The sequence below is a fragment of the Homo sapiens genome, chromosome 3 (genome assembly GCF_000001405.40).
Source record: "Homo sapiens chromosome 3, GRCh38.p14 Primary Assembly".
Lineage (NCBI taxonomy): Eukaryota > Metazoa > Chordata > Mammalia > Primates > Hominidae > Homo > Homo sapiens.
In genome coordinates, this window is record NC_000003.12 from 154,123,166 (window position 1) to 154,146,277 (window position 23,112).

A 23,112-nucleotide genomic window follows, 5' to 3' on the forward strand; every position below is an offset into this window, starting at 1 on the left:
GAAGTCATTCCGTTTTAATTCTGTGTTTTGCTCTTGATTGCTAGTGTACATCCAGCTCTTGGCCACTTTGATGCTGGCAGGCACAGCCGAGTTTAGTGCAACTTTGTGGGAAGAAGTGAAATTCATCACTTTTAAATTTCTAAGCTCAGGCAGAATTGGGGGGGACAAGAGTGAAATATGGCAGATTATTGGCTGAGTGAGTCTTTACCACTTTTAAAAGAGATAGCTGAAAGGGGGAGGAGCATGTTCAGAACCGCACTCTGCAGTCAAGTTGTCTGGAGTTTGCTTAGAGGTTTCAGTCAATGATAGCTGTTATCACAGCTGATTCAGAAAAATACTGATTCCTGTTTGAGCCTGTTGATTATTTTTTGCTTTTACTTACTGAATTTTGAGTGGTTACTACGCACTTGATGTCATTCAGGTAGAATGTGAATTTGAAAATCAGTTGCCAGGATCACAAAAGACATAAATATTTTGTCATCTTTTTTGTTGCTTGTTTTTGTCACCGTGGCCTTTGGTTGTGTTTTATTCCCGTTGTATGCCCATTCATCCTTGAGTGCATGTAACAGATTGGCAGCTGAAAACTTAAGGTTAGGGTGGACACTGTGTGGTATTGCTCCCCTATATTGTCCCATTAGCTGCACTTATTAAAATATTGTCAAATATGACATAAAGAAACAGGGAAAACTGAAGAGGGGTATTTTGGAGTGTGTGCTTCCTTCCACAGAAACAACACAGGTTTCAGCAATAAGGCAGATTCTTTTTGGCAGCCACATTTTTTCTTGGTTAATCAGAGCACTGGAACCAGTCTATATAAATGGCACATATGCAAAACACAAGCAAGCCTGTTTTATTTTAGAGCCCGTGGTCTTAAAGAAAATAAATTACATAACATTTTATGTGTTTTTTCCAACTCTGCAAGTATAGCAAAGTTCAATTTAACAGTGATGGTGAATCACGAGTTGTAAAATGAGCTGACCTGCTAGTTATTTGAGGATTCTCAATCTGTTTTGACAGGGTGTGGGGGATCTTGTACATTTTATTTCATTGTTTCAGTGAATTGTAGTGATCAAATGAGTGAACTCCTCCAGGGCTCAGCTTCTGTGCGCTCTTGGAAATCTAATTAATGTAATGACTAAAAAAAAGTATTTTTACTTAAAATAGCTGTATTTTCTATTTGGCTCATTCATACATAGTTTGCTTTTCCTTTTTTTTTTTTTTTTTTACTTTTTTTTGTCTCTTAGAAAAAAATGCTGAAAGGACAAGGAACATTTGATGGGGAAGGTAAGCATTTAATTTTCCAAACTTTCATTGCTGTTTCAATGTGGAATACCAATTATAAGTTGAAATCCAACTGCAGTAACAAAAATGCTTACGATGAGAAATATGTCCAACTTCTTCTCAAATTATACAGTCCAAAGCTTCTCACTAAGCTAAATTTTTATCTAGTAATACTAATGGTGAATATAGTTAATGGCATTTTTTATAGGCTGATAACTTTTTCAGTCGATGTCCTGGGATTTTTAATTCTTCTCTACCTTGGCTCCATCCCCATGTTCCTCAGGAAGGGTAAGAGCAAGATCTAGCTTTTTAGTTAAAAATTCTGATTTTGGCATTTAGATCTGAAGTCATATTTCTTTAGGTCACATTTCCTTTGACTTAGTATTCTGCCCATATTTCCACATTTGATTATCATTTCTGACTTCCTGTTTCCTTATTAAGTTTCAGCTTTGGGGAAACTCTAACTCTCCTGGCTGACAAAAACATATTCTTAAGACTTTTCAACCCATGTAGTATTTTTATTAAGGATCTCAAAAAAAAAAAAAGCAGCTTCAACCAGGTGTTCAAACCCTAATCAGATTAATGGACTTTTTTAAATAGATGGGTCAAGCGTCAGCCAACTGGAAGAGCATGAAGGGAGCAGTCCCAGCTGTAGCACTTGTTGGGCTAGAGGGTCATGGTGGTAGTGAGGGTAGTTAAATTTTTGTCATGTTTTGAAGTGTGAAGATTTTCCAACCTTCAAAGAATAATAAAGAAGGGAGTGCCCCTCCATAGGTCAAGCAAATGTACAATCACCCAGAGTTATAAAATATGTAGCCTTAGGTGATTGTCAAGTAATTCCCTATATAATTTTTATAAAGATGAGTTTCCCATTGGAACATTTATAAATGACTTATCTATAAAAATTCATTCACCGCACCAATCTTAGGAAATCCAGATATAGTATTTAGCTGGTTGGAATAAGTTCATCTCCCTAATTTTATAATTGAGGAAACCAGAAGATCTGAGAGGTTTGGTAACCTGTCTGCTGTCACACCTAGTTACACAGCCAGTAGTAGGACACAGATCGAGTTCTTAGTCCAGTTTGCTGCTTCTTATAGCACTCTGACTATGAAGTGAACAGCATCTACCTAATATTTACCTAAGGAGATGCTTTACATTCCCTGGAATTTGATATTTATTTTGTGACCTCTGCCTAAGAGAGTTTAAAATTTTTAGATTTTTTTTGAAGTCAGAGAGTAGACTTCATTATAACTAGTTTTACGTTATTTCCTTTTATAAGGAGCTGTTTCTGTGTATCCTCTCATTTCTTCTCAAATATAATGACCTAGAAATTTTTTTCATGTACATACATATGTACATGAGGAATGCAGGATTCTTACAGTTAATGATTAACAAGAATGTAACTAAAGAAGCAGTGTGTCTAAATGGTGAGAATCTGTGATATTAGAGCCAGGCAGACCTGGGTTCCTGTCTTGCTGTTCCTGTTCATCAGTTAAGTGATACTGAGAAAAACCCTTAATATCACAGGGACCTCACTGAGCCACCTCATGTGTGAAATGAGGTTAATAATACTGTTGCCTAAGTTGTTGTGAAAATGAATGAGAAATCTGTCAACAATGTTATGCATATATACTTTGTGCCAACTACTTAGTACTTTGAAGACTAGGGGAGACTCAGCCTTTACCCTCATAATCTGCTTTACATAGCATGACAATCAGAGACCAGTAAAATCTTGAATAGACTCCAGTGTTACTTTAGTCATAGTGCATACAGAATATTCTGTAGTTGATGAGAAAAGGGGCAGATGCATGCTTGTTTTGGTAGATGGGAAAGTCAGTTCAAACTCAAAATGCCCCAAACCAAACTCATAATCTTCCCCACTAAACCTGAATCTCTTCTGGTGTTCCCATCTCCTACTTTCTGGTTGTGAGGCCTGCAGACCTAGGAAACACCCTTAACACCTCCCTCTCTCTGCCCCCATATCCGGTCTTTCACCAGTCTGTTCTATGTTATGTAGCTCAAATCTCCATCATCTTTCGTTGACTACCCCAATAGCTTCTTAGTCTCCTAGGTAGTCAATGTTTTGCTGTCTAATCTAAGCAAGTCTTTCCTTTTCATGGAGTCCCATTGTGTTCAGGAAAGAAATGCTATCATGACAGTGTGAAAGAAACTCAATCCTTTTGTACTCAGGGTGAAATCCAGTTTTTACCATTGCCTACAAATATTTCCTTGATTTGGACTGTCTGGCTCATGTCTCTAAACTCACCTTGTACACTGTGGCCACTAGACATACCCAAGCTTTTGCCACGTTGACTTTCCCTAGTTCTTTTAAGATACAGCCATGCATCACTTAATGATGAGGATACATTCTGAGAAATACACCCTTGGGCAGTTTTGTTGTTGTGCAAATATCACAGAGCGTACTTAAACAAACCAGATGGTATAGCCTAGGATATATGGTAGAGCCAAACCTGTACAGCATGTTACTGTACTGAATACTGTAGGCAGTTGTAACACAATGATATTTGTGTATCTAAGCACAGGAAAAGTACAGTAAAAATACAATATAAAATATTAAAAATGGTACTCTTCTATAGGACTCTTACCGTGAATGGAGCTTGCAGTACTGAAAGTTGCCCTGGGTGAGTCAGTAAATGAGTAGTGAGTGAATGGGAAGGCCTAGAACATTACTGTACACTATTGTAGACTTTACAAATACTGTACATTTAAGCTATATTAAATTTTAAAGAAACTTTTCAATCATTAACTTCAGCTTACTGTAACTTATTTTGTAAAATTTAAAAATTTTTGAATCTTTTCAACTCTGGTTTTAATACAGCTTAAAACACAAACACATTGTACAACTGTACAGAAATGTTTTATTTCTTCACATACCTATTCCATAAGCTTTTTCCTATTGTAAAAAATTTTCATTTTTACTTTTTAAATTCTTTTGTTGAAACTAAACACATGCATTAGCCTAGGCCTGCACAGGGTCAGAATCATCAATGTCACTGTTCTCCATCTCAACATCTTGTCCCACAAGAAGGTCTTCAGGGACAGTAACATACATGGGGCTGTCATCAATGATAACAGTGTCTTCTGGAATACCTCCTGAAGGACCTGCCTGAGGCTGTTTCACAGTTAACTATTTTTTTTTTTTTTTTTTGGTAAGTAGGAGTGCACTCTAAAATAATGATAAAAAGCATGGTATAGTAAATACATAAACCAGTAACATAGTTTATTATCATTATCAAGTATCATGAACTGTATATAATTGTATGTGCTATACTTTTGTATTTTTGGCAGTACAATCGGTTTGTTTACACCAGCATTACCATAGACATGTGAGTAATGTGGTACACTACAACATTTAAGATGGCTAGGTGATAGGAATTTTTTAGCTCCTTTATAACATATGGGACCACCGTTGTAGATGTGGTTTGTCATTGATCAAAACAATATTATGCAATGCGTGACTGTATTATGTTTCCTCTTATGTTCGCATTATAGCTTTTGTGTATGCTTTTCCTGTAGCTCTGTAGCTTCTCAGCTTTCAGACCTTAGACTTTCCTCATTGACCAAATATCTGACTGCCAGACTAGATCACACCCTACTGACAGTCTGTTCTCACCTCTATATAAATCCTTCAGTTTGTAGGTATGTATTTGTGTAAGATCATTATGTTCTCAAACTTATAGTGACTTGCCATCACATTTTGAGTAAAAATCAAAGTCCTTTAATGGCTGAGGCAAGGCCCTACATGATCAGCCCTCTGGTCACCCACAACTCCCATCTTCTTCTTCTTTTTTTTATTTTGAGATGGGGTCCAGTCTGGAGTGTAGTGGCATGATCTCGGCTCACTGCAACTTCTGCTTCCCAGGTTCAAGCAGTTCTTCTGCCTCAGCCTCCCGAGTAGCTGGGACCACAGGGGTGCACCACCACACTCGGCTAATTTGTTGTATTTTTGATAGAGGCAGGATCTCACTATGTTGCCCAGGCTGGTCTCGAACTCCTGACCTCAAGTGATCTGCCCATGTCAGCCTCCCAAAGTGCTGAGATTACAAGTGTGAGCCACCATGCCCGCCGGCCTCAACTCCCATCTTCTGTACTTTCCCCCCATTTCCTTGTACTCCAGCCATGCAGTCCTCCTTGCTGCTCTTGGTACATACAGACATACCAAGTAGACTCATGCCCCAGGGCTTTGCACTTGCTGTGTCCCTGATGAGATGCTGTTTGGGCACTAGTTCTTCATCAGAGTCAACATCAAGGGCCTTTTCTTTGTAGTTTTGATACAGGTGGCTCACTTTCTCACCTGTTCTATGTCTTTACTTAATTGTCACTCCAGTGAGGCCTTCCTAAACTACCCTACTTAACATCTACATGCCCTCCTCCCAGCGCTTTCTACCCCCCTTCCCTGTTTCATGTTTCTTCATGACACTTATCAGCATCAAAATACTATCAAAGTTATTTGCTTATTTATTGCAGTTCTCTCATGCTTTAGTATCAGCTCCTGAATATTGAGATTTTTAGTGTCTATTATTGTATTTCACGTGCTAAGCTGTTGCCGGTTCCTAGTAGGTGTTTTCTAAGTAACAGTTGAATGAATAAATGCATGAGTGAATTTGACAGTTTTTTTAATTAAACTGTTAGCTCATGAGAGGTGGATGAGGGCATGAGAGCTCATGAGGCATCAGAGGTGTCTTTCTTTTGTTTTCCATTTTACTCTCAGCCCTTGGCACGTCATAGATACACAATAAATGTTTATTAAATAGATAAATGAATGGTGATGGACCTTAAATAAAAGATAGGATGTAATTTAACCTAAATTACAGTGATTTAACAGGCCTGACTGTCCTTCATGAGTAGTGGACAGAGACATGGAAACTGCTTCTGTTGGCATTCTCTGTATGGGCTGGTCCCCTTCCCCTGCAGTTGAGTTTGAGATAGAGCTATGTGAATGAGAAAATCACTTTTCTGTAATTATTCTTCAGGGACTAAATCTGTTTGTCTCTCTGTTTATAAAATTGGAGGCCAAACATTGGGTACATATGATGTTTATTTAGAACAAGTAACATAATGATTGAGAACAATTAGTGACACATAGGCCTTGTTTTCTTGCAGAAAATGCTGTCCTGTATCAAAACTACAAGGAAAAGGCCCTTGACATTGATTCTGATGAAGAGTCAGAGCCCAAAGAACAGAAGTCAGATGAAAAAATTGTGATTCACCATAAGCCATTGAGATCCACATGGAGCCAACTCTCTGCGGTGAGTGTTTATCTTCTTTTCTATCTGTGGTAGGAAAAAAACAAGTTTTGGAAATTATGTGTGGATTTGGCTTTTGTTCTTTTCTGCCAGTGATCCTGTAACTAAGGAGAAAGACTCTTTTTAGATTGTGAAATGTTTCTCGGAACTCTGCCCGCACTAATGAGAACATGAACTTTGACACTTCTGATCAGGAAAATTAGGTTTGATAAAATAAAGTGCTATGAGATTGATGTACTGTGACCTCTGGAAACTCTTTCTGCGAGATCTCTCTTTTTGTTAAATATAGCCTGCACTTTATCATAATTATGGCTATTTACATATATATGCGTGTGTGTTTATGTATGTATGCGTGTATATGTACATGTATGTATGTACCTGTATATGTATCTCTGCACAATAGAAAGCTAGTTACAATTCTTCCTTGGAAATTTTTTTTTTTTTTTTTGAGATGAGGTCTTGCTCTGTCGCCCAGGCTGGAGTTCAGTGGCGTGATCTCGGCTCACTGCAGTCTCCCAGGTTCATGTGATTCTCCTGCCTCAGCCTCCTGAGTAGCTAGGACTGTAGGCGTGTGCCACCATACCCAGCTAATTTTTGTATTTTTAGTAGAGATGAGATTTCACCGTATTGGCCAGGCTGGTCTTGAATTCCTGCCCTCTAGTGATCCGCCTGCCTCAGCCTCCCAAAGTGCTGGGATTACAGGCATGAGCCACCGCATCTAGCCCTTCCTTGGAAATTTAATTTGATATAGAAATGTTTATATATTCTTAAAGCTGATTAATGAATGATATTCTGTTCCATCTCTGTGCCTTTTTTGTATGCCTGTCTCTGACACTTAATTTTGTGTTGATGAGTAATTTCTCCTCTCTGCATCAGACACCTTTTGTTTTTTAACTGTATATTTTTTTCCTCCTGGCTTACAATGTCACAGTTTGATGCTTAGTTTACTTGATAAGAGTTTGGGCACAGCATTTGCGAATATCTGATGAATTAGCAAGTAGAAAGGAATTCCCATGGCTGGCTTGGTTCAGGGGAGCTTTGCATCAAAAACAAGCCAGTACACCTCCATGAGTCCTTAGGCAATATCAGAGCAGAGGTGACAGAGATGTTTAGAATCAGGAATCTTGTGTATTTAGGGAACCCACTGGTGTAAGAAAAGGAGTTGTTAATGTTGGTGCTGTATAGCCAGGGCCGTGGGAATATGTGTATGTAAACGGTGGGAGACAACTTCTGCTTCAAGCTCTACCTTCCCTCTTCTAACCTGTATTGGAATTCAAAATTCAATACACCAAGCGCTTTCTCCCTGTCTTCTTCCCACCTCCTAATTTTGTTCTCAGGAGAATCTGTTCATTTCCAGGGCCTCTGAGGTATAGCACCCTTATGATTATGCCAAAAATTAAAATATTCACAGTGTCAGGGGAAGTAGAATGAATATGTGATGCTGGTATATGTAGGTGATAGGGAGTGGTGGGAGCTGTGGTGAACAGGCCTTATATAAATTGAGCAGCTACTACTTAGCTCAAACCAGGTGAGTGCAGGGGCTCAGTGTGACCAGATGTTCTGATAATTAGAAAAGAGAATGTACAAATCCAGACTTTTATGAGTATTTTCTCAACTCAAATTTTAAAGAAATGTTGTGTGTCCAAGAAAGTATTCAGATTTGCCCTCTATGCTAACAGTTTGTAACTTCTGTGATATTTTTAAAATTTTTGCATGTGGTTAGGTGGTAAAAGCTAGCCACAGAATTGGTTTATTAGCAGCCTTATACCCTAATCTAATGATCTCATGATATGTGTATCCCAAAACAGATATGTGGAAAAACTGATGACAAGGTCCATTGAGGCCATGTTGGCTCTAAATGGCTGTCATTCAGTTCATTCAGTTGTTGGTATGGACCATTTGGTAGAGGATCCAGGAGAAGAAAGAAGGCTGTGAATTTTTTGTTTTCTCTCTGTGGCAGCAGCTGGGTTTGTTAGCACAGGCCTAAATCGTGCTGTTGGTCTCTGAAAGAATGCTAAAAAGAAATGTGGATTTTTATGTCAGTTACACCCTGATCTCAGTTTAGCCCAAGAAACAGGCTGCCATATTTATGCCTCCTGGAGTTTGGCTTTCATATACATGAACAAATGTATATACAATTAAATAATAGTGCATATCCTTCAGTTCAACTTTGTTTATGGACTTGCATTTTATTTGGCAAAAAATGAATGTTGTGTCTTTTGTAAATGATATTGATATCATAGAACTATCTTGTAATAAAATGTAAAACTATAAAGTGATTTCTGATTTTAGTGTATGTTATCTTGGAGTTGAGTGTTCCCGGGAGGCTTGTGTGTGTTTATTGTGTTGCTTGGCAATTAAATTTAATGAAAGCAGCATGATTGGACTTGGCCACTTAGCATTACTTAGGCACCAGCCTGCATTTCTTTGTGCCTTTTGTGTCTTCTTTTCACTTACATTTTACTTTAATTTTTTTTGTTATAAAGTGCTTTAAACCCATAGAAAAATTAAAAAATAAATAAAGTTAATCAATTTCTGTGTACCTATCACTCAGATTGAACAAATGTTAATATTTTAACATATTTGCTTCATTTTCTATTTTTTTAGACTATTACAGCGAACCCCTCCTTCCTTTCCAGTTCTTTTCTCCTTCCTACCTCCCCAGAGATAACCACTATCCCTGACGTTCTCTTCTGTCCTTCCCATGAGGGTTTTCTGTCCACCAAAAAGATATAACCAGTTCTGGCTTTTAGGAAAGTAGATATTTTAACACCAGAAAGCAGCCATTACCTTTTTAGAAGCTCATCTGCTACTAAATTTTCAAGTTGTATTTAGGACCCTAACGAGCGGAGGCTTCGTGCATCATTAACAATGTCAGGATGTTTCTCAAAAGTGATCGGCACCTCTATTTCTCTATCTGACCCCTCCTGGTAGTGAAGCTGCAGCGTTTAGGGCAGGTCTCAGAAGACTTTCAACTTTAATATATATATTCAGCTTTAATATGTAATATATAAATATATATGTGTGTGTATATATAGAGTTGGAGGTCTATATATATAAATACCTAGTATAATGTATATATTAAACCTAGCATCATCTACGTATATAAAATCATCCTTCCATGCTTAATTTTAATAATCAAAATAGTAAGGTAGCCCGTCTAATTTTGAGTATAACATTTTAATGCAAAACTCTTCTTAAAGACAAGGGGTTTTCTGGCAGTGGGTTAGGTCTCAGTTCGGCATATACCTTCACTTCCTGCTAAGGAGGGTAGGGAGTGAGTGCACATGTGCATTAGCCGGTGTTGTTTTATTTTCTAAAAAATCTTTTTATTGCAAATGCCTGCCTCCTGGGATGGTGAAACTATCCTTATCAGTTGACTATAAGAAGCATTCAGTATGCTGAATACTTTTGAAGTGCAGCAATTTGCAGTAATTTATGGTTGTTACGTAAGATCTTTAAGCCTTGAGTCTGTGCTGTAATTTGTCTGGGCGTGTTTATGTTTCCTTTGGTTTCATTGGACCATGCTGGGTAAGGCAGTGTTCAGCTATACAGATGACAGGTGGTTCCCCATTTATGGTGTTGGGACAGGTTTAACTGTAGTGTTGTCATTTAGGAATAAAGGAGAATTAGAAGAGGCATTTATTTAGTTGGGCCTCAGTAGAATAATAAATGATAGTCATTTGTTTAACTGAGCCTCAATAGAATAATGAGCCACAGACTTCTATATTAGGACTAAAGAAATAAGGCTGCACACCTACAACTATCTGATCTGGCAGGTTTGTAGAAGATCAGATAGTTGTAGGTGTGCAGCCTTATTTCTGGGCTCTTTTTTCTGTTCCATTGGTTTGTGTGTCTGTTTTTGTACCAGTATCATGCTGTTTGGTTACTGTAGCCCTGTAGTGTAGTTTGAAGTCAGGTAGTGTGATGCCTCCGGCTTTATTCTTTTGCTTAGGATTTTCTTGGCTATTTTTTGGTTCCATATGGATTTTAGAATAGTTTTTTTCCAGTTTGTGAAGAATCTCAATGCTAGTTTAGTAGGAATAGGATTGAATCTATAAATTGCTTTGGGCAGTATGGCCATTTTAATGATATTCATTTTTCCTGTCCATAAGCATGGAATATTTGTCCATTTGTTTATGTCATCCCTGATTTCTTTGAGCAGTGTTTTGTACTTGTAGAGATCTTTCACCTCCCTAATTAGCTATATTCCTAGGTATCTTATTTTTTTGTGGCAATTGTGAATGGCAGTTTGTTCCTGATCTGGCTCTTGGCTTGACTGTTGTTGGTGTATAGAAATGCTAGTGATCTTTGCACATCGATTTCGTATCCTGAGACTTTGCTGAAGTTTTTTTTATCAGCTTAAGAAGCTTTCCGGCTGAGACTATGGGGTTTTCCATATATAGGATCATGTCATCTGCAGACAGGGATAGTTTGACTTTCTTTCTTACTATTTGAATACCCTTTCTTTCTTTCTTCCTTTCTTTCTCTTGCCAGATTGCACTGGCCAGGACTTCCAGTACTATTGTATTAGTCCGTTTTCATGCTGCTGATAAAGACATCCCTGAGACTGGGTAATTTATACAGGAAAAAGGGTTCAATGGGCTTACAGTCCCCTGTGTCTGGGGAGGACTCTGGGGAGGCTTCCACAATGGTGGAAGGCCAGGAGGAGCAAGTCACGCCTTATGTGGATGGCAGCAGGCAAAGAGAGAGCTTGTGCAGAGAAACTTCCGTTTTTAAAACCATCAGATCTCGTGAGACTTACTCACTATCATGAGAACAGCACAGGAAAGACTGGCCCCCATGATCACTTAACTCCCACCTGGTCCCCCCAACAACATGTGGGAATTCAATATGAGATTTGGGCAGGGAAACAGACAAACCATATCAACTATATTGAATAGGAGTGGTGAGAGACGGCATCCTTATCTTGTGCTGGTTTTCAAGGGGAGTGCTTTCAGCTTTTGCCCATTTAGTATGATGTTGGTGATGGGTTTGTAATATATGGCTCTTATTATTTTGAGGTATTTTCCTTCAATACCTAGTTTATTGAGGTTTTTTTTTTTAACATGAATCAATGTTGAATTTTATCAAAAGCCTTTTCTGCATCTATTGAGATAATCATGGTTTTTGTCTTTAGTTCTGTTTATATGATGAATAATATTTATTGATTTGTGCATGTTGAACCAACCTTGCATCCCATGGATAAAGCCTAGTTGATCATGGTGGATAAGCTTTTTGATGTGCTGCTGGATTTGATTTGCCATATTTTGTTGAGGATTTTTGCATGGATGTTCATTAAGGATATTGGCTTGAAGTTTTTTTCTTTTGTTGTTGTATCTCTGCCAGGTTTTAGTATCAGGATGATGCTGGCCTCATAGAATGAGAGAGGAGTTCCTCTTCTCCAATTTTTTTTGGAATAGTTTCAGTAGGAATGGTACCAGTTCTTTTTACATCTGGTAGAATTTAGCTATGAATCTGCTTGGTCCTGGGCTTTTCTTGGCTGGTAGGCTATTTATTACTGCCTCAATTTCAGAAATCGTGATTGGTCTCTTCAGGGATTTGATTTCTCCCTAGTTCAGTCTTGGGAGGGTATATGTGTTCACGAATTTATCCATTTCTTCTCGATTTTCTACTTTATGTGCCTAGAGGTATTCATAATGTTTTCTGATGGTTGTTTGTATTTCTGTGGGGTCAGTGGTAATATCCCCCTTGTCCTGAAATAATGTTAATGGTCGTAGTTCCCAGTTTGGGTTGGTCAAATGTGGAAGGGATTTGAGGTTTTGAAACCTCAATGACTTTGAAAAGTAAGTTTTGACCCCTGGAGATTATCTGGAACTCTACTCAGAGACAAAAACCCTGCTGCACGCAGGTAAATCACCGGTGCCTCACCCAAAACAGCAGCACAAACATTAAGCCAGCAGTTCTTGGATCTCTGGGAAAAGCATGTGGGTTTGAAGGAAAATATTGATTGTATTAGTCAGGGATGGAACACTGTGTACTTGTTACAGTTAATGCCAGGTGTGTAGTCAGCTGAACTTCAGGTTTTCCAAAGGGTTCATTCATTAGTAGGACCCCGGAAGTATTTATTGTCTTTTCTTTTAGATAGATTTTGACTAGAGTTTTTGCTTTTCACTGTAAGTACCCCCTCCACCTCTCCAAGATCATGTACTATGCATGTATGAAGAAATGACTGTTGCAACACCAGTGTTTGTTATGTTAAGTTCGGTGATGGAACCAAAACCATATTTGCCAGCTGTGCCCTGACCTGATTTATTTGCCATGGGGTGCGTTTGTGTAATTTCCATCACCTTGAAATGCCAGATACCTTTGAAAAGGGTGTTCTCTGTTCAGCACCTAATAGAGTCATCCTCTACTGCACTCTTCTTTTGTACTTGCTGACATGTGGCTTTATCAGTAATCTTAAGTCATTGGAATGTTTCTTCAGTTTGCTCAAATATTTTGAACTCTGTAGTCAGAAATGGTTTGATTTCTTAAAGTATTTTAATTTTAATTAAAATATTTTAACTAAAGTATTTTAATTTTAATTAAAGTATTTTAAGTAAAGTATTTTAATTTTAATTAAAATATTTTAACTAAAGTATTTTAATTAAAGTATTTTTCAGCTCTGTGCTAAGTGTGACTAACAGTGCAATGGGAGATCTAGAATTCAGACCTCAGTCTCTGGTTCTGGGCTCAGCTCTTAAAGCACACATAGTGTACCTGTGGGAGACTTTCTGGAATTGCAGGATGAGAAAGGAAGATTTGAAAAGCAGGAATTTTATTATAAATATCATTTCATTCCATTGAAAATGCAGCAGACACTTTGGCATCTTAGTAGTTTGAGGTGATGGGACTTATTATTTTAGAATTTACTCTGTGCTTATTGTGAAAGACATACTATTTTCTAGTAAAAATCAGAGCTCAACAAATGTAATATACCTGAATGTCATTCTGTTTGCAGAAATGCTTAATGCATTTAAACTTATTCTTTTCCCTAAATTTTCACATTTGTCTGAATTTTCAGTTGTTTGTGACTTGTTGCTTAAAATAGTAATTTCTGTAGTTTTATAATTTTTCATTTACAGTTTGGCAACGCAGCAGTCTCATAAGATTATTTTTTTACTTTAGATGGTGACTAAAACCTTTTACCATATCTTTTTTTGTGTGTGTATAAGATATGGAAAATTATTTTCACTTTTTATAACTGGCTCACATTTAGCTCACATCATGGTTTAAACAGAACTGCAAGCACATACTAGTCCACATTTTCAAGTTGGCTTGTGGGTCTTCTGGAATCCTTGTGTCTTTATAAACAAAAATAGAGGCCCATGTGCCTAGACCTGAGATCCATGGTTTGGATATTTTTCCCCTCCAAAACTCATATGGAAATTTAATTCCTGATGTAGCAGTATTGAGAGGTGGAGCCTTTAAGAAGTAATTAGATCATGAGGGCTCTGCCTGCGTGAATAGATTAACAGCCGCAGATTACTGGGCTAATGGATTAATGAATTATCATGGGAGGGGAGCAGGTGGCTTTATAGGAAGAGGAAGAGAGACCTGAGCTAGCTCGTTAGCATGCTTAGCCTCCTTGCCATATGATACCCTGCACCACTTCGGGGCTCTTCAGAGTGTCCCCACCGGCAAGAAGGCTCTCACCAAATGTAGCCCCTCAGCCTGGAACTTCTTAGCCTCTATAACTGTAGGAGATAAATTTCTTTGCTTTATAAATTACCCAATTTCAGGTATTCTGTTGTAAGCACCCCAAAACGGACTAAGACATACCCCAATTAGAATTACTACTCTAGCTAAGAGAGATAAAGGTGGGGGACTACTTAGCTTGGGCCAGGGACTGGGCTCTGTATGTGGTCTTGCTTTTTATGTATAATTAGATTATGGTACATTTCTGAAAATTAACTTGACTTATGTAAGCAATATATAATATGTCCTTCATGTAGAGAATAATTCAGACATTTTGGACCAGGTACAGTGGGTCCTGCCTGTAATCTCAGAACTTTGGAAGGCTGAGGCAGGAGGATCTCTTGAGCCCAGGAGTTTGAGACCAGCCTGGGCAACATAGTGAGACCCCTATCTCTTAAAAAAAAAAAAAAAGAAGAAGAGAAGAAGAAGAATTGGGACATTTCAGATTAGACTAAAGGCTCTTTTGGTCATTTGTGCAATCCCAGTCTCTATCCCCTTCTCCATAGATAATGCTGCTCTCAATTTGGCAATACTCTTCTGAAAATCCACATATATACATTTAAGGAAACAATATAGATTACCCATATTTATGTAAATATACAGACTATTTATAATATACAGCTTGTTTCTTTTCTGCACTATGTGTCTTATAAGTCATTTCATATCTACACATGATCTACAGTGTTATAACTGCATTAATACATAGGATGGATATGCATTTAGCCATCTTTACTGGGGGAGTGTCATACATGCTTTAAGAATCTAATAAAAATTATGAGCCATAGGCTTTCTCTGTAGAAAAATGCACACATGTATACATGTAAATTTTTTTAATAATTTTTGTTTTTTCAGTTTTAGTTGGAGAGTATTTTTTTCTTGACTTTATTTCCAAATACTAGGAGCACCTTAGTGTAGCTTGTTATGTATTGAGTACAGTTTCCATGTTGTTAATATCACTTTAAAAAGTTTTTCTGTATCTGCATTGTTGCAGCGTTGGAACTTTATGTAACTCCTAAAAATATAGACAGAGATTGAGGAAAAAACTACTCTGGTTGGAGCTCACTAATTAAAGGGCAACTGAGTGGTAGATCTGCCAATATTTATGTAATTGATTCTTCTGAGAGAACAGTGAAGTGTTGGGATATGGGGGTGTGTGCACCAGTTGCCCGAGGGTAGGCAGAGATCAGAAATGACAGGTGCTCCAAGAAAGCAGGAGGAGATGAAAACACGGTTAGTTAATTGTTATGGGCATAACTACAAAGGCAGATGTTTCAACTACAAACCTACAACAGGGTCCAGACAGAGAGGGTCTTCTTACTTCATTGAGTAGAAAATCGATGAGAGAGATTGATGAATTCATTGTCTTCATCAAGGGCCTGCCCCACATGAAGTTCTGTCTATGGCAGGCCCTGGAGATAGAGCAAGAACAGACTCCACCTTGCATTCATGTCCTTGTAAACAACCTGAATGGCGAGACAGATGTCAGATATCAAATCATCCCATAGATAAATGCATAATTACTATTGTGGTAAAGCTGTGAATGACTTACTGGTGCTGCTGCAAGATCTTCTAGAAAAGAGCACCTGTCTGGGCAAGGTGCGGTCAGTGGAGAGCAGGTGTCAGAGGAGGTAATGTGAGCTGTCATCTGGAGGGTCCAGGACGATAGCTGGTGGGGCACAGTTGGGGAGTGGCAGGGTAGAAGAGTCTCAGGTAGAGAAAATGTCATGTGCACAGACATTTGGGGTGATGGTGGGTAAGAGGAGTTGGGATAAGGCCAGTGCAGCTGGAACATCTTGATCTCCTTTGTGGGTTTTTCCTCATTCCTCTGTTCTCTAAATTTTGGAGGGCCCCTGGGCTCATCCTTGGGCCTCTTCTCTTACCTGCACTCATGTGGTGGTTTTATCAATCTTGTACTTTTAAATATATCATATACTCGGATGACTTCCAAGTTATTGCTTACTATGAAATCGAATTAAATTTTGGACTTATTCTCAACTAGCTATTTCTTTTGGGGAGTTGGAAGGGATACATTCAAGAATAATAGCAGTCTGTAGGAAGAGAAGGCTCAGGGATGTTGAAGAGTTCTGAATAACTGCATAGAAAGGCTTTTTCATACTGACTTTGGATTGCAGATTCATCTATGGGATTCTTGTATTTGCCCTGTTGAGCTTAATGTATCCTCTTGTGGGGTCTCCTTCCTCAGTCCAAAGATAGGGCTATTTCTCAGGGCCACATCCACACAGTGGTTGGTCTCCATGATGATTGGAGAGTGTTGTCACCTTTAAAATTACTATTGAATCTTTAAATAAGGAATCCTTAAAAATTTGTTACTCAAATTTTGTGGATTTATCTGGAGCACATATAGCCTGTTAATTCTCTAGATTATTAGCCTGTACTCTAATATCTTAATATTAGGATGTTTATTATCTATATTTCTATTATTTTGAGGAGATAAGAACTATACAGTCAGTGGACAACTTCTGTAGCAGGAAGTATTATTGACAGTAAAATAAAATTGCAGATTATTTCCCTCTTTGTAGGAAATAAGCCTATCCAACTATAATAATACAAAAATGGAGCAATTTCCACTTAGCCTGGTTAGAAACCCTGCTTCTGGTAGTGGAGTGCAAAGGAGTCTGATTGTTGTGTGCCCACCTGGGCAACAGGGAGCCCTTATATCCACATGGGTCCAAAGTTCTGAATGAGCAGACTGAGTTGCAGGATAGCTGTTAGCTCTGGGATCATCACAGTATTGATTTGTTTACATGCAGTTAAATTACTGACCACATATTTGCAGGAGACTTATTGTGTACCAGGATTGTGTTAGGTAATTTCAGATACAGTTTATGTAGTCCCGGGACAATGCCACGAGGGTAAGTACAAATTCTTTACTTTGTAACAAGTCAGCTGAGAGGCCAGGATGTTAAATGCGGCTGCTAGTTAAGGTCTTGAGATTACTTGGAACAGCCTCTGCAGTGACCTCAAAAGATGGATACATGTACCTAGGGCTCTGGAAGAGCAGGAACTATGTTTCTCCCAGGTGCTCAGCCAATAATGTGACTGCAACTCTGACTTGGGCTTTTTTTTCTTCTCATAAATTGGCTTATTTTCCCTTTTTACTATGCTTGTCTTTTTCCTGAAAGCTCCTGAATACTCAGGGTTTCTGAGTGCTTTTTTTTTTTTTTTTGAGATAGTCTAACTCTGTTGCCCAGGCTGGAGTGCAGTGGCACGATCTCAGTTCACTGCAACCTCCGCCTCCCATAAGCGATTCTTCTGCCTCAGCCTCCTGAGGAGGTGGGATTACAGGCACACGCCACCACGCCCGGCTAATTTTTGTATTTTTAATAGAGACAGGGTTTTGTTATGTTGGTCAGGCTGGTCTCGAACTGCTAAGCTCAGGTTATCTGCTCGCCTCGGCTTCCCAAAATGCTGGGATTACAGGCATGAGCCACCATGCCCAGCCTCTGAGTTCTCATAACTTACACTTGAGCACTTGAGACTGTGTTAACAGCCCTGTCCTTCCCTCAAGTCACTCTTTCAGCTTCCATCCTATTTTTTTTTTGAGATGGAGTCTTGCTCTGTCGCCCAGGCTGGAGTGCAGTGGCACAATCTCAGCTCACTGCCAGCTCCGCCTCCTGGGTTCACGCAGTTCTCCTGCCTCAGCCTCCTGAGTAGCTGGGACTACAGGCGGCTGCCACCTTGCCCGGCTGATTTTTTTTTTGTATTTTTAGTAGAGACGGGGTTTCACCGTGTTAGCCAGGATGGTCTCTATCTCCTGACCTCGTTTTCCGCCCGCCTCGGCCTCCCAAAATGCCGGGATTATAGGTGAGAGCCACCGTGCCTGGCCTTCCATCCTATTTTTGAAAGGATGTAGGCCAGAATGCCAAAGTGAGTTACACAGTTTAGTTGCCCAGTTTAGTTCCTTGAGAAAGAGAATTATATTGGCTCAGCTACTTTGCCCCCGCTTAATAGGTCACTAGAACATGTATTGTCATTTAGCTAGGTGCTTAACTAACTCTGCTCCAGTCAGCTTTGGCCTCCATGATGTACTATGGCACAAAATGTGGTCCCTTGGGGCTGCTGCTTTTGCAGAGGCTGTGAGTAGAATGGTTTTTCTTGTAGAGGTCCATGGAAGTGTTAAACGACATGACTGACTGACTTTTGTCTAGTGTAAATTTATACATCATGGAGTGGACATTGTAACCATGGTCTTTATCAGCAGCTTAACATGATAAGAAATATGTTTTACCTTATAAACCAGTATGTGTGTCTGAATGTGTATGTTTGCACATATGTATGTGTGTATATATCTCAAAGAAATTTTACAAGGCAGGAGTTACTTTATACTTCTGCTTGCAGTGTACTATAGTATTTTTAATTTTTTTCTGTTCTGTTACATTTAAATAGATAACGATCACTTCATGATAAGACTTTATTTTGCATTCAATGCCAGTTTATAACTTATAATTTGAACAGTGGTAATATCTGACTCCAAAATTCATTTGTTTTCCACTGCACTGTAGTGAATGAGGCAAACAAAACAAGGCTAAAACCCAGCCTACCCTCCAGGAGCTTAGAACCTAGAGCAGAAGACAATAGAAATGAAATGTCTGAATGATATTTTGAAAGGATGTAGGACAGAATGCCAAAGTGAATGACACAGTTGAAATCACAGAAAGCAGTGAAGTGAAGATGAGGAAAGTTTTGTCTATAGGATGTAACTTAAACTAGATGGGCTATTTGGGCAGAAGAGGAGAAAATAAAAGTAATGAAGGTGTAAATTGCTTGAATAAAACTTTTTCTTTTTTTTTTTTTCTTTTAAGGTAGAGATAGGAAGACAGGATTTCACCATGTTGGCCAGGCTGGTCTCGAACTCCTGGCCTCAAGTGATCCACTTGCCTTGGCCTCCCAAAGTGCTGGGATTACAGGCGTGAGTCACTGCGCCCAGCCAATAAAGCTTGATAGGTAGGCAAAGGGAAGAAGAAAGATAGGACTTCTGTGTCTGTTTCTCAGATCTCCGTACAATAAGGTAATTCCTGTCCAAAGAAACCACTGCCTGCTTTGTACATCTAATGGAAAGCATCAGTTTACTCTATTACCCATTTTTCAGAAACAGATTTTGCTCAGGTTAGATTTTTATTGCAAAATCTCAGAAATTCAGAGTCGCTGTTGTTCTAAGTAGCTTATTGTTTTGGAGTTTCTCATTCCTATCCACTGGTCATTTTACAAAAATAGCAAGCAAAAATAAAATAGCAACTAATATATTGGCATCACCTTTAGAAATAGGTGTTCTTTTCTTCCGCAAGAGAGGAACATCAGACCTGTTGTACCTTCCTTAACCCCTTGACTCATACCTTCACTATGTGTAAATGGCATCATTCTCAGTTACGCAGACTCCTTTATCCTCCTTTATCTCTCATGCTTGCAGATTGGCCTGTCATCACTCATTTTCAGCACTGCCTCATAAGCTATTGCTCAGTTTGGACTTGATTAAAATCTTTCTTTCTTATTGCCTCCCTTTACCTTAGCTTCTCATTTCTTTTATCTACAGGTGGTCATCTCTCATTTCTCTAGTTTCTCTTTGGGGCAGCAACAAAGAAATAGAGGTATTATTGGCACCTTTAAACAGTTCTACTTGTCTGCCCTACTCGTTTTGTTTCTTTTTTGGGAGAGGATGTTGAAGTAGTATTTTAGTTTTTGTTATTCGAAGTGTTGCTTTAATTGCAAAGCCAAGACATGTTTATTACAGAAAAATCAGAAAGTACCAATAGATAAAAAAATTGAACTATCTCTTTCTATTCAATCACTATTAACATTTTTGTCTATAACTTTTCAGATTTAAAAATATATAGAAGGATTGTCTTTTACGCAAAAATCAATAATGTAGTAATAGTTTTGTCACTTTTTTCCCTTAACAGTGTCGTAAATATCTTTTCATGTTATTAAGCCTGCTGTTTTGTCACCTTTTTTTAACAGTGTTATGAATGACCTTCTATGTCATTAAATATTCTTCTACAACCTTTTTAAAGCCCACATACTAGCTCCTCAAATAAGTGGATGTTTAGCTCTTTTAACCAATTTCTTGTTGTTAATCATGTGTGTGTTTCTAATTTTTCAATTTAAAATTCAAAATTTAAGGCTGATTAAGTTTTTTAAAATAATTATTTTTGAACTACTGAAGTAAAAGAAATACATTCTCCTTATTAAAATATTAAATGTAACAGTTAAGACTGAAAGCTGCTTAACTTTACCACCATTCCCAACCCCTCAGCTGTTAACCACTGCTATAAGTCTGGTCTGTCCCCCAGTATTTTATTAAATAGTGCACGTTTAAAAATTGTTAGTCTTCGGTTAAATTATAGAATTGCCCTTTACCCTGAATTTATTCCCTTTCATCCTTGTTACTTCTGTGTCATTAGCTTTTCATGTATTTGTTAACCTCATTTTCTCTTCTTAATTTAGCTGATAGATACATGAGAACTGCATCTCTTGCTCATTTGGGGGATAGAGAATACATAAATTTTAGTCCAGGCTCAGTAGCCCACAGCGGGAAATGCAGGTTAGAGAGAGCCACAAGGAAAAGAGGAATTTGTTTGGTGGTAGAAATGTCAGGATTGATCAACAAGTTAAATGACCAGGGAGCCCTGCTGACAGCTTAGCTTTCACTGCAGCAGAAGCCAGGAAGCCAATGAGAGATGTTGTTTCTGGGGCATTCAGGGGGAGCAACTTAATTTAGGGGAAGAGTAGCTTGCACAGCTCTTAAAAACTCTGAAGTTTTAGAAGGCAGTGTGCTACAGTGATTAAGAGCTCAGGCTTTGGGGGTGGACAGGCCGGCCCAAGTTTGAATCTCAGCTTTCCAATTATTAGGGTGAATGACTTAACTTTTCTGTGTCTCCGTTCTTTATTTGTAAACTAGGGATAGTAATGCCTTCCTCACAGAATTGTTACAGGGTTTAGATGCATGGAAGGAACAGTACCTGGTTCATGGTAAACATTTGATATAATGGTAGTTTGAGAAATAAATTGAGAACCAACCAGAACTCTGAATCAGGAATTGACAAGACATGGGTAGCAAGCTGGTGAGTGCTGGCTGCAAATGAAGTAATGCACGTTTATTTCCTAAATGTACAAAGCACAGCAGTTCATTCTTGTGCATTTAATTACTTATCTGTAGTTTGTATTCTCAGCCTCATGTCTGTATTGAAATGATTTGGATTCATTCAGGAATCCTGGCTCTGTCTGTAGATGGTGATGCAGGGCATAGAGGAGCAAGTGTCCTGGTCTGCTTTATCTGAGTTTTCCATTATTTTAGCAAACTCGATGTTGCCTGCTTGAGGCTGAGTACTTGCTATTTCTTGAGATTCAAACACTTTTTTGAGGATTATAGAATTAAGCTTAACAATAGGACATCAGAGAGATCAGCTTTTTGAACAAATTAATTTGGATGTCACTGGCATATTACCTGATGCATTTTTAAATTAAGCATATGATTTTATGATATGTGCTATTATCCTTCTACTTTTTCTTTCCTTAAAAAAAGCGTTCTCTCTCTCTGTTTACCCACCACTCCCCAGAAGGATGACCCATCTTGACCTCATGTCTAGTGTTTGGTTATGCAGATCTCTGGCCCTTTGAAATTTGTGTTCTGTGGCAGCTCCTAGCTAGGAAAAGTGATGTCTTAGAACCTTTCCTTGTGGATGTAGTGGGGTTAAAGAGAGCCTATTGGGTCTGGTTACAGAGGACACTCTTTCTGGACTCTGGCAGATTTTTCATTTTAAGGATTTCAAGCATACTCTCAAACTGCTGCTGTTCCCATGTTATTTACAGTGAAAGAACTCTAGCTCACTTGTAATTCAGGGATGACTCAGGTTACATTAAGTCTGTAGAAAGGACCTGAGAGTGATTGTGTCCTGTGGTATAATTTTACTTTGAAATCCCTTCCCATTTGAGCTCTTGAGAAAAGAAGCCTGTAAGTAGAGAATCACCAATAGACATGAAAAGCAAGCTTACTTTCAGCAAATGGGTAAACTCCATTGAGTTTTAGCTCAGATGGGTGTTCAGTATAAATTAGTGCTTGATGGAGACAGAGTGATCTTGGATTGTAAATCTAATGTAATTTTTAACTGGCTACATTTTTGAGTCTTTTTGGTTTGTGAGGCTTTTGGGTTCTTCCCATCTGTTTTCCCTAGTGGTGGGCAAAAATAGAAGGAATGCACATTCATCTAGAAACACTATCGAGTCATGGAGGGTCTGAGAACAAAGAGGGCATCAGAACATAAATATCCCTGTTTACTTCACAGAAAATGATTATCTGATCAGCCAAGAGACTGGTGCTAATCTTGGTTCTCTCCACAGATGTAGGACTGGCTGTATCCATAGATAAGTTCTGTGTAAATGGCAATTTGAGGGATCTATTTGGGGCTTAGAGAACTTGGCTCATAACCTATTCCAGTTAGTAGAGTCAAAGACCAAGAAATATTACACAAAGTTTATAGTTCTTTTACACAGTTCTCTGCAAGGTGGAGATGCTTAGTGTAACTGTGATGAGTGTAATAATGGACTCACGGTCTAAAGCTTGTCTGTTCCTTTTTAGAGTATTTATCTGAGAAGCTCAGACCTGCAAAGTACTTTAGTTTGGGCTGCCATAACAAAATACCATAAATTGGATAGCTTATAAACAACAGAAATTTATTTCTCACAGTATTGGAGGCGGGAAAGTCCAAAATCAAGGCAGATTTGGTGTTTGGCAAGGGGCTGCTTTCTGGCACATAGTGCCTTCTTGCTACATCTTCACGTGGTAGAAGGGTTAGGGGTTTCTCTGGGGCCTATTTTAAAGGGCGTTAATCCCATTCATGGAGCA

At 38.6% G+C, this 23,112-nt stretch overlaps 1 protein-coding gene across 5 annotated transcripts in view; it reads left to right on the forward strand.

Moving 5' to 3' along the window:
* Positions 1 to 23,112, forward strand: part of ARHGEF26 (Rho guanine nucleotide exchange factor 26) — a 136,823-nt gene that overhangs the window by 2,163 nt on the left and 111,548 nt on the right. For all 5 annotated transcript variants that reach the window (NM_001251962.2, NM_015595.4, NM_001251963.2 and 2 more), the window contains exons 3-4: positions 1,245 to 1,284; positions 6,409 to 6,554. In NM_001251962.2, the coding sequence (NP_001238891.1) occupies positions 1,245 to 1,284; positions 6,409 to 6,554 (186 nt within the window). The remainder of the gene's footprint in view (positions 1 to 1,244; positions 1,285 to 6,408; positions 6,555 to 23,112) is intronic.